Source organism: Homo sapiens, chromosome 6 (assembly GCF_000001405.40).
Source record: "Homo sapiens chromosome 6, GRCh38.p14 Primary Assembly".
Taxonomy (NCBI): Eukaryota; Metazoa; Chordata; class Mammalia; order Primates; family Hominidae; genus Homo; species Homo sapiens.
The window spans coordinates 134,658,825-134,670,884 of NC_000006.12; the positions used below are offsets into that span (position 1 = coordinate 134,658,825).

At 40.9% G+C, this 12,060-nt stretch overlaps 2 annotated features.

Annotated features, from left to right (window-relative positions):
• Window positions 2,191–3,028: an enhancer, noted in NCBI's record as "NANOG-H3K27ac hESC enhancer chr6:134982153-134982990 (GRCh37/hg19 assembly coordinates)". NCBI's record gives its function as "activates a minimal SCP1, AML or CMV promoter by ChIP-STARR-seq in naive H9 embryonic stem cells {active_cell/tissue: H9 hESC(naive)}" and the evidence as "EXISTENCE:reporter gene assay evidence [ECO:0000049][PMID:30033119]".
• Window positions 3,997–4,166: an enhancer, noted in NCBI's record as "experimental_90067 CRE fragment used in MPRA reporter constructs". NCBI's record gives its function as "activates a minimal promoter by MPRAs in K562 erythroleukemia cells, with activity observed for both the introgressed and non-introgressed 6:134984044 variant alleles {active_cell/tissue: K562}" and the evidence as "EXISTENCE:reporter gene assay evidence [ECO:0000049][PMID:34662402]".

Below are 12,060 nucleotides of genomic sequence, written 5' to 3' on the forward strand. Positions count from 1 at the left end.
ACAAACCTCCCAGGCAGAACCCAGGTCATCCACACATGCTAATGTCTTCTTTCATTATTGATCCTCAGGGACACAGCGGATGTTCTACAGGGTTTTCCAGGCCCTTCTCCATCTTTAGGATATAGCTCAGGACACCATAATCACAATAAGACTTGGGTAAATATGTTTATACTGCAGCTCCCCGTTTCCATTAAACAAATTACAATAACATTACAGTCTGAATATTTTTGAAAAAGGCATAGGGGGAGAGATCTTTGTTCCAAAAAGAATTGGTAGCTAAAGCAGTGTAGGGGTGGGTTGCCCCTCCACACCTGTGGGTGTTTCTCGTAAGGTGGAACGAGAGACTTAGGAAAGAAAAAGACACAGAGACAAAGTATAGAGAAAGAAATAAGGGGACCCGGGGAACCAGCGTTCAGCATATGGAGGATCCCGCCAGCCTCTGAGTTCCCTTAGTATTTATTGATCATTTGTGGGTGTTTCTCGAAGAGGGGGATGTGTCAGGGTCACAAGACAATTGTGGGGAGAGGGTCAGCAGACAAACACGTGAACAAAGGTCTTTGCATCATAGACAATGTAAAGGATTAAGTGCTGTGCTTTTAGATATGCATACACATAAACATCTCAATGCTTTATAAAGCAGTATTGCTGCCCGCAGGTCCCACCTCCAGCCCTAAGGCGGTTTTTCCCTATCTCAGTAGATGGAGCATACAATCGGGTTTTATACCGAGACATTCCATTGCCCAGGGACAGGCAGGAGACAGATGCCTTCCTCTTGTCTCAACTGCAAGAGGCATTCCTTCCTCTTTTACTAATCCTCCTCAGCACAGACCCTTTACGGGTGTCGGGCTGGGGGACGGTCAGGTCTTTCCCTTCCCACGAGGCCATATTTCAGACTATCACATGGGGAGAAACCTTGGACAATACCTGGCTTTCCTAGGCAGAGGTCCCTGCGGCCTTCCGCAGTTTTTGTGTCCCTGGGTACTTGAGATTAGGGAGTGGTGATGACTCTTAAGGAGCATGCTGCCTTCAAGCATCTGTTTAACAAAGCACATCTTGCACCGCCCTTAATCCATTTAACTCTGAGTTGACACAGCACATGTTTCAGAGAGCATGGGGTTGGGGGTAAGGTTATAGATTAACAGAATCTCAAGGCAGAAGAATTTTTCTTAGTACAGAACAAAATGGAGTCTCCTATGTCTACTTCTTTCTACACAGACACAGTAACAATCTGATCTCTCTTGCTTTTCCCCACAAAGCAGGATGGAATAAAGAGTGCCTAGTTGAGAAAATTCTGGCGAATTCAGTGTTCTGTGTAAAATTAAGTACATGTGTCCTCTGCCTAAAAATAAAAAATGTAGTAACTGGTTGTATATAAAAATTTTGAATAAAGATATACAGATTCTGGGTTAGTTAATTATTAGATTGCTTTTGAATACTTTTTTTTGTTGTTGTTACTTTTATAGAGATAGAGTTTTGCTATGTTGACCAGGCTGGTCTCAAACTTCTGGCCTCAAGGGATCCTCCCAACTTAGCCTTCCAAAGTACTGGGATTACCGGCATGAGCTACCATGCCCACCCCTGCTCTTGAATACTTTAAAGGCAAATTTAAAGCAAACATTTGATCTGTATATTTTGAAGACAGAAAGGCCAATAGCTGGGATAGGAAACTTCCAGGCTAGATTTGGTTCTTGGCAAAATTTCAACTGGCTATCGGCTGGTGTTCTAAAATTAAGTGTTCCTTGCTTCTATCCCTAATTATTTGGATGAATCAAATCTTACAGAAAATGAGCATGTCGTCTCAGACTTCATAATACTGGCTGTAGTCAGACATGTAATTTGCAACAGGAGTACATCTTAAACTTTCATACAAAGTACAAACTGAAGTCAGGCCAATGTACTTCAAATTCTGATTATGTTAGTTGGTCTGTGTGCCCTAGGACAAACAACTTAAACTCTCTGAGTCTCAGTCTTATCATTCATAAAATGGAAATAATAGGCCAGGCGTGGTGGCTCATTCCTGTAATCCCAGCACTTTGGGAGGCCAAGGTGGGTGGATCACAAGGTCAGGAGATCGAGACCATCCTGGCTAACATGGTGAAACCCCGTTTCTACTAAAAATACAAAAAGATAGCTGGGCATGGTGGCGGGCGCCTATAGTCCCAGCTACTCAGGAGGCTGAGGCAGGAGAATGGCGTGAACCATTTCAAAGGCTGGTGAACCTCGTATCTAATAGGCACTGATTAAATATTTGTTAATTTGACTTAAATATATATTTTCTGCAAAATGAACATGTTATTCCAGCTTTCCTCCACAGCTTCCATTTCCCATGATTATTTATTAATTTCACTGATGTCTTTTGAATTAGTTTCCCACTAAATGGCAGACAAAGAATGGGAGGCTCAAAAAAAAAAAGCACAAAACAAAAAACTAAAAACAAAACCACCCTGACCATAGAACAACAAATGAGCCTCAATTGAATAGAAAAGGAGAATCTAAAGCAGGCAAACCAGTTTCTGGAAGGTTGGTCATGGCTGTCTGGGATACTGTGTTGAGAAGGGATGGGAAAAGAGCATAATGAATGGCTACACCTGCAATTTGGAATTGTGGACAATTTAATTGTAGCGTAATTTCAAATTCAACTCTGAGGAAGTCATAACTAGAGCTAAAACTAGAACCAAGTTTATCAAATTTGCACAATAATGGTTCAGCTAACAGGCCACTCACTATTCATAGTGTTCTAAACTCTCTACCATTGAGTCTCCAGCTGAGAACTTTGAAAAGTTCCTTCACCTCTCCAAATCTGTTTCTCATCTGTAAACTGGGAGTGTTGGACTTCATGAACTCCCAGGTCATTTCCAGCATCAACCATGTATGAACATATGCTTCTGTAAAGTACTATTTGGTTACCTAGATTATAAGATCTTACATTCTTGATAGTGCTTTAGTGCCTACCAAAACCTTTTGCAGTAATCATTCTATTTGACCTTCACACCTACTTTGTAAGTCATGCATTCTCATCCCCATTTTACAGATGAGGGAATTAAATCAAGAAATCCGGCCGGGTGTGGTGGCTCATGCCTGTAATCCCAGCACTTTGGGAGGCCGAAGCAGGTAGATCACGAGGTCAGGAGTTCAAGACCAGCCAGGCCAACATGGTGAAACCCCATCTCTACTAAAAATACAAAAATTAACTGGGTGTGGTGGCAGGTGCCTGTAATCACAGCTACTCAGGAAGCTGAGGTAGAGAATTGCTTGAACCCAGGAGGTGGAGGTTGCAGTGAGCTGAGATTGCACCACTGCACTCTAGCCTGGGTGACAAAGCAAGACTCCATCTCAAAAAAAAAAAAAAAAAAATCAAGGAAGTTGGCCAGTGTCTTAAGATTTGCTGGCAATGGACTTGGGTCCAAACCCCATACTTCACAAGAAGCTTTCTGAGAAGTTTAAGAAAATAAATAAATAAATAAATAAATAAATAAATAAATAAATAAAACAACTACATAATATATATATTTTTAAAAGGGTATAAGTAAGTAAGATAGAAGCAGGGGAGGGGGAGGATGGCACAAGTTGAAATGGAGGCTAGAGGCCAGAAGCACTTGTGCAAATTCCCAAGGACAGGCAAAGGCTTTTTTTTAAAAACAGAAGAAATAGGCCCACTGCTTGAGCAGATGGCACAAAATTAACAGATGAGAAATGACAGAACTACTTCCTTCCTGTTTTGTTTCTGCCTTTGAAAGACAGTATCTTCAAATTCAAAAGTATAGAACAAACATGGTCAGGCTTTGGGATTAAAATAGTAGACAAAATAATAAGTTCATTTTTTAATCTTCCTTTTTGATTCAGCATCAAGTTCCCAGGCTCAGATGAAGTAACTCAAGCTTCTGAAAGCTTCCACATTTTGATTGAAAGGCCAATTTCAGTAATTTCTGCATTAATATAAACAGAAGAGAGGTTGGAAACCTGGAGATGGACAAACATCCTATCTTTTTAAAAAGGCAGCTTCTAGAAATTACAGATGAAAGAGTCTGACATTAATCTTTAGCAAATTCATCAAAGATAGGTTGATTAAACAGATGCAATGTAAAACTTAGAAAAGGAAGGGCATGGCTAATTAGCCTCATATCCTTATGTGATGAAATTATTAGAATATCGGTTTAGAAATGCTATAAATGTGATATATATTTAAGGTATTTAACACATTTTTCCATATCTTCCTAAAATCACCTACAGTATAGTACAGTTACTGGATGCATAATAACTTGAGTAATCCAGAGACAATAAATATTTTTTGAGTAACTGGATTTGCAAGTGACTCAAAACTGAAAAGAATAGCCAATATGTCAAAAGGCAGATCAAGATTTTTTGTGAAGATGTTGAAATGTTGAAACTATAGGCTTAAATGATAATAAGGATCAATGAGAAGATACATTTAGGTTCTAGAAAATGACCTAAATGGACCTACTGGTTGTCTTGAGAAATTCGAACGTTTCTCATGTGGTGAGAGCTTCATGACCTTCAGCCTTGAGTTCTTCTATTACATGAAGTGTAGTTGCATACCTATGCGTGGAAGAGTATTGGTGCTGAGAGCCACAGAGAGCCACAGGTTCCACTTTCTATTAAAGACTGCTGACTGTGATACTGCACTCCCCAAACAGAGGGTCAAGGAGACAGCCAGCAGTAAATCCTCACCACGGGTTTTGATGGTGAGATGGATAGGCTGGAGAGTACAACAGGCCTGTCACCGGATGAGTGATGAATGTCTGTGGCCTCTGTTAGAAAATATGCCCATTCTTAACAAACAAGGAGGAAGATTACTGTCGGGAAGGAAAGAAGGTAAAGGTATCAGGCATTTCCCCTTTCCCTAGGGTGTGTTAGTAATCACCAGAATGGGTAAAGGAATGCCCACCATCTTCTAGAAACCCAAACTTTAATGAGAAGGCTTGCTCCCTCGTTTCAGTACTCCCTTAATATTGTCCTTTGGCTCTCTGACCCTCCATACTTTGGCCCAGTTGTCTTTGTTTTTATTTCTATTGTTTTGGGTTTTTTGCAATGTAAATAAGAGTTTCTAAGTACAGTACTCAGTGTTCTTCTAAAAATGTTTGCTGCTGGTACATATTTTATGTTGACATGTTTGTGGGAGGCAAGGCCAGTGAAGCCGTGATGTGCTGAGTGTGGGAGTCCCAGTGAGAACTAGGCTGGGTATCAAGATCTCGTACCATCCATAGCAGAGGAGTGCATGGGTGGCCAGTAGTTCCCAAGAAGACAATAAGCATACAGAGTGGGAGGAGCATTTGGTGAGTATGTCCCTACATTTACAAAGAGCAGATCATATATTTTATTTCAATGTATAGTAGTAACTGCGTTTGCTTGTTTTTCCCCCAATAGAGAAATCTGACCAAAAGATCCCCAGGGAAAAGCTACAGGTGTATTTATATAGATGAGGAATCATCTCCATGAAGGATCAGAAATGGAAAGTGTTTACATAGTTCATTTCTAAGACTCTTCTCCCTGTGGCTGTTTTGGAGGTCATGGGATCTGCCACTACATAAACACAGACAGAAATGCCCACACATATGCATACATACCACACATATTCTCCTTATGACCATCCACAGATTTTATGTTTAAGTGTCCTAAAAATCTAATTTCATAACAAATATTTCAAATTTCAGGATATAATTAATGGCACTGCCCAATATACACAACCATAATAAATAAATGTGTAACTACAAAAAATAAGAGCTATATGAAAAGCTGAAATAATGAGAAATTAATTCAGCTTTTTCTTTTTAAAGCCATGGTGTCGGTGAGCAGGAGATCAGAATAAACACCCTCCTAGGACTCAGACCTTGAATAACAGTGAACCTTGCTAGTACAAAAGTACTAGCCTATCTTTGTTTTTGTTTTTTCACCATATGCTGTGCAACAAGGAAATAAAATATAATTCATACTTTTCGGTTAGGCATAATTACATGAAGACAGTATTCCAAACAAACCAAAAACCAAACAAGGAGTAATTTACAGCAATTAGGCTGAGAAAAGTGTACATATAGCTTGTTTTTCTTTTTTAAAAATTTTTTTATTTTTTTTTTTGAGACGGAGTCTCACTCTGTCGCCCAGGCTGGAGTGCAGTGGCGTGATCTCTGCTCACTGTAAGCTCCACCTCCCGGGTTCACGCCATTCTCCTGCCTCAGCCTCCTGAGTAGCTGGGACTACAGGCGACTGCCACCATGCCTGGCTAATTTTTTGTATTTTTTAGTAGAGACGGGGTTTTACCATTAGTCAGGATGGTCTCGATCTCCTGACCTTGTGATCCGCCTGCCTCGGCCTCCCAAAGTGCTCGGATTACAGGCTTGAGCAACCGTGCCCGGCCACGTGTAGCTTGCTTTTCAAGATTTTATAAGGTTATAGTCATACAAGCAGATTCTGAAGGCTTCCTTTGATCTTTAGGGCTAAATAAAATTTAGGTTAAAGGTCCATTCATCTACTACCTGTGTCCTTTTTATAATCAACAGAGACAAATGTTATCAGTTATTCTAAAGTGAAACCCACAAGATTGTAAAGAAGCTTGTCTAGTTTGAAGGGGTAATATCTGCAATAATTGTTAGAAGGGGGAGGGGGAAGGGGATGGGTTTTGGTGGAAAGGAAGAGAGAATATTTAGACCAGTAGCACAAGGGAATGTGTACTCATCAGATGATACCAAGGCTCACACAAGAATGCTGATTTTGGAAGAGTTGCTAGGTGACAATATGCCAGGTTAAGGTGAAGTTCCTTTGGGCTCCTCAGGCCTCCCATCATTGGGATAGGTTTATTGTTTATAGGCTGTCTTCATTAAGATTGTTACCTCACAAGTCAAGAGTTAAGGTACAGTAAATGCTCACGTCCACTTGAAAATATGTAATAATTAGTCTTGAAAATATGTAATAATTAATTTGCTTTGGTTAATATCTGAGTGCCCGACAAAAGCATCAATTGTGCCAAGAGTTCATCTTGCTTCCTCTCTGCCAGATGGACAAGAAGTGAACCAGTCAATAAGACAAATATCTGCATGGTCCTTCCTGAGATGGGGGATAACCAGTCAAGTTACCCCAAGCAGCAATATCTTTCTTGCAGTGGCTCAGGATTCCCTGGATCACACTGATGCTCCGTGGCATATGCAAGCTTCCCCTTCTGTCTCTGGGAATATAGGGAGCTTCTCAGGCCACTGTGGCCCTCACACCCAGCCAACTCCAATCCTCTCGTCTCAACTGAGCCTGACAGAGGCGGCAGAGTGACTCAGTGACTCCTTCTCCACACATTGCAGCCAGTCATGGAGAAAGCACTGGAATAATGAGAAAGCACTGGAAAGAGAGCTTGCTCCCTCTCTGCACCCCCTTACCAGTGCTTCCCACAGGAGGCAAGGCTCATCTGATTGCTCAGCATGTGACATTTACTGGGACATATTTCCTCATGGAAAGTTTGTCAGATATGAGAAGTCGCCCCTTCCCTTCCTCTTTGCTTTCCTGTGATCAGCAGGCCCTCTGAGACCTAAGGAAAGCTGGGAGGAACCTCCCTGCAGGCAGAGAGGAAGTCCCTTCTCACTGTCTTTGCTAGCTCTACTCTTGTGCCTGGGAGGGCGAGTTTGTGTCTGCCATTTGGTGTATTCAATTCACAGAATATGGAATAGGAAGACCTCCTCTGGCCTCAGGTCTACACTGTATTAACCAACACAGTTTACCTAAACCGCCTTACAGTTTAGGGATTATAACATGCTTTCCCAGATTAATAAAAAAGAAGCGGAATGTCTACTTGACTAGAGAGTTGTTTGTGTGCTCCCCTAGCCAGTTATCCAGAGGGAAACAGAGTCTCTTGAACCCTGAAGAGACAAGTAGGTCAGGGCTTTGAATCTGGGTGTTTTGCCACTTGCAGAAACCTGGGTCTAAAGGTAAAAGGAGGAGAACCAACAACAACAGTTCTAGGACTGAGAAAGTCTCAAATATGCCCTCGTCACTGATAACCCTGTGACCTTTTCATTTCTAGCAGCCTCTGAGGTGGCCTTCGTGTTATGAAGCGTAAACTGAGTCTTACACAAGGAGGTATTTCAAGCCCAAATCACATTCTCATAATTGTTTCTCTATATGTGTTTTGATGAATACACCATTCTTCTCTTTTAAATAATAATAGGCCATTAGCAGGGCATGCTGGTGTGTGTCTGTAGTCTCAGCTTCTGGGGAGGCTGAAATGGGAGGACTGCTCAAGCCCAGGAGGTTGAGGCTGCAGTGGGCCATAATCATGCCACTGCCCTCCAGCCTGGGCAACACAGCAAGACCCAGTCTTGAAAAAAAAAAAAGACAAAAACCAAAACCAAAAAATAAACAGTAATAGGCCAGAAGAGGAAGAAGATAGAGAATGTGTGAAAATTTTCCATCAGGACATTGCAATAGAATTACATTGTATGTTCCCAGTGAATTTTCTCATGTACTCACTCATTCAACATTAATGGATGTTCTATCTCCAGTTTATTTTCTTAAGTACTATTTTGGCTGCCACTGCCTGGGAGTGAAATTTTTTTTAATGAAGAGAGATTTTTCTAACCAGCCTTTTACTCATTCTCTTTAGTGCATGTCATTCCTTCACTCTTAACCATCCTCCGCTCATACCCACACCCCAAAACACATACACGCAGACTCTACTTGCAGTTTAGGGCCCCAAACAAGTTGGGGAGGCTTGGAGGTGCAAGTTAATCATAGTGGAACAATCTAGCAAGTGCATCTATCAGATTTGCACAAGGTATCATTATGTTTATTTATTTTACTTTTAAAATTTTATTCGAGACAGGGTTTCACTTCCATCACCCAGGCTGGAGTGCAGTGGCACAATCTCAGCTCACTGCAACCTCTGCCTCCCAGGTTTAAGCGATTCTCCTGTCTCAGCCTCCCGAGTAGCTGGGACTACAGGCATGCACCACTGCGCTCAGCTAATTTTTGTATTTTTGTAGAAATGGGGTCTCACTATGCCCAGGCTGGTCTCAAACTCCTAGGCTCAAGTGATCCTCCCGCCTTGGCCTCCCAAGTGCTTGGATTACAGGCATGAGCCACCATGCCTGGCCTATCATTATGTTTTTAAAGTCTAAGCAGTTTCTTCCAAGTGGATCATTTTTTCACTGCCCTTTTGTCCACAGCCTTCTTTTACAGGTATGGATTACCTGGTTGGTCCAACTTTCAGATTTAAGTATGCCTGTGGTCTCTGTAAGAGTGAGGAAATTTCCTCTTTGGGTCCAGGTGTGTGGTCCACCTCCTTGCCATCTCAGCCAGTGTGTCCTTGGTTTTTCTTACCTTAAGAAATCTAGTTTCTCTCTTTCCCTCAATTTAATTGCATGGTCTATAGAAGACCCTCTTTAAAAAATTTATTGAGACTTGCTTTAAGTGTTAGAACATCATAAATTTTCATAAATGTTTCATGTGTGCCTGAAATAAATTTCCATTCTCTGGTTATTGAGTACAGTGTTATATAAATGCTCATTTTTGTTATTCAAACATTGTATATATTTACAGATTCATTAAATAAATCAGTAGTTAAGAGTATAAAAGTCTTCCCCTGTGATGATGAATTTGTCTATTTCTTATTTTAGTTCCATGAATTTTTGCTTATATTTTAAGGCTATGCGATTGGGGTATTAAAGTTTCAAACTGTAATTTCCTCCTGGTGATTTACTTTGATAGGCAACTAGAAACCACTGAAGTTTGTAGAGCACAGAAATAACAGGATTGGAACCACTCATCCCTATATAGCCTGATTTAATAGAGACATTCTTTGTTTGCATTTTCATTAATTTGGTTTTCACTTATTTTACTGGCTTAATAAGCCCAGCTTGGGAATGAGAATATTTCACCTCCAGTTAGTATTTTGAGACCTAATTTTTCTGGCTTCAGGGAAAGAACCAAATTGATTTGGTTGCTAATAACTTAGACTCTGGATTTGAAAACTGTGAAGTTTCATTGTAAAATAAAAGATAATGTGCCTCATTACGGTAGTAAATGGTGGATGACAAAGAGGTTACAGGATGAGAGGACAAAGAAGTTTGTTTTTGTTTTTTCTGGTTTGGTTTGTGGGGCCAGAAAGGAAATCAGTAAATAAGAATTCAGTTTTGTACATGTCACTTCAGGGCTTGAGATACTCATAGGATTTCTAAGCAGAGCTATCCAGCAAATAGTTAAAAGGTAGCAGAAGCTTAGGGGAAAGTTCCAGAAAATTACAAAATCAAAAGAACGAATATTTACTTCTACAATGATCATTAGTAACAATAATGAGGACAGCAGTGACTTGGAACGTGGGTTGGACATAGCCAAATTCGGGTTTTAGGAAGAATAACTCTGGCTGTAGGGTGAAAGAAGGCCTAAGATGGGAAATAATCTAGAGATGGGAATACCAGGTTATTACAAATGTCTATCTCGAAGCAGTGAGGAACTACATTCAGAAAATAGCCACAGGAATAAAGTGGGGTGGTCAAATTCGAGGTTTATTTTAAGGCAAAATTTCTAGGTTGTGGCAATGAAAATATTAGGCTAGGAAGAGACAGAAAGAGAAGCTTGAAGATGTTTTTAAGAGTTTAACTTAGGAGACTAGGTGGTACACACTATTAATCAGCCTGGGGCATGTCAGGATTTTCCTTTATTTTCTTTGTCTTCTCTTTGTATGTATATACCACATTCTTCCTAGGCTCTGACAGGTTTCAAAGATATTGGGCCTAACATAATCTTGCTGGTAAGAAGAGACTAAATCACTTGCCTTTTAGGTACTTACAATTCCTAGTCCATGAGTAAATTTTTTGCAGCAATTGAAAAGGAGATTTAATTAATTGCATCCTGAGACAGAGAGCAGTAATTCACTACCAACATGCTGTTGTTTGTTTAACTCTATCACTCATTGACTCATTAACCTTCACAACATCTCTTACAGCTCTCTACTTTCCTAAGTGGAAGATAATACAGGTTGGCTCATCCAACTCCATTTTAGCCTATCCATCTCCACTCCCAACCCCTTGTGGCAGATTTTATAGCATCTCAGAGGCCAAAAAGCTGAATCCCTTATGCCATTTATCAGATTTCTTATAGCACTACTTCCTTCCACCAAGCAGATCTAACCACACAAGATTTAGAAGGCAGAGGTGAAAATCACAATGTCAAGACCATTCTGCCACCTCTGCTATTTCTCAGTTTTGTTGTGTTTTCTGCAGTGATTGTTGCATAGGTCCTGTCAGCGGTTGAATTGCGTCCCTCCAAACTGTTGAAATCCTAACCCCCTAGAAATTCTTAGGTCATATACCTATGAACATGACCTTATCTGAGAATAGAGTCTTTGCAGATAGACCAGTCAAGATGAAGTCAGTAGGGTGGGCTTTAATCTACTATGACTGTTGACCTTAAAAAAAGGGGAAATTCAGGCAGAGACAGACATGTGCACAAGGAGAATGTCACGTGAACATGGAAGTAGAGAATGGGGAGATGCATCTACAAGACAAGAAAAAACAGAGATTGTCAGCAAATCACCAGAAGTTAAGAGAGAGTCATAGAACAGACACTCCCTCACAGCCCTCAGAAGGAACCAACCCTGCCGACACCTTGCTTGGACTTCTAGCCTCCAGAACCATGAGACGATACATTTCTGTTTTTTAAGCCATGGCATTTGTGGTACTTTGCTGCAATAGCCCTGACAAGACAATACAGGTCTCATGTCTGGTCCTCAGCTTTGTAGGTGTTGGGGGGCAGAGGATGGGGACAGGGTAACATCCACTTTGAGGAGGCACATCATAGCCTAGTGGAGTGTTCCTAGAGCCAGCAGTTATGATTTCAGTTTCATGATTTCCTTTCTTATTATCTTAAAGTCAGCAGCTACCTAGGTATGTATATTCAGTGGTGGCTTCTTAAAACTCAGCCTACAGATCTTGCTCCTGCCCTTCCTCGAATTAAGTCCCTTTCTGCTTAAACTAGGTCCAGTGAAGTCTGTTGTCTGCAATCTGTGCCCTTTGTCCTGACTAAAGAAGACAATGACACTCCAAAGTGCATCAAGGATTCCTGCCC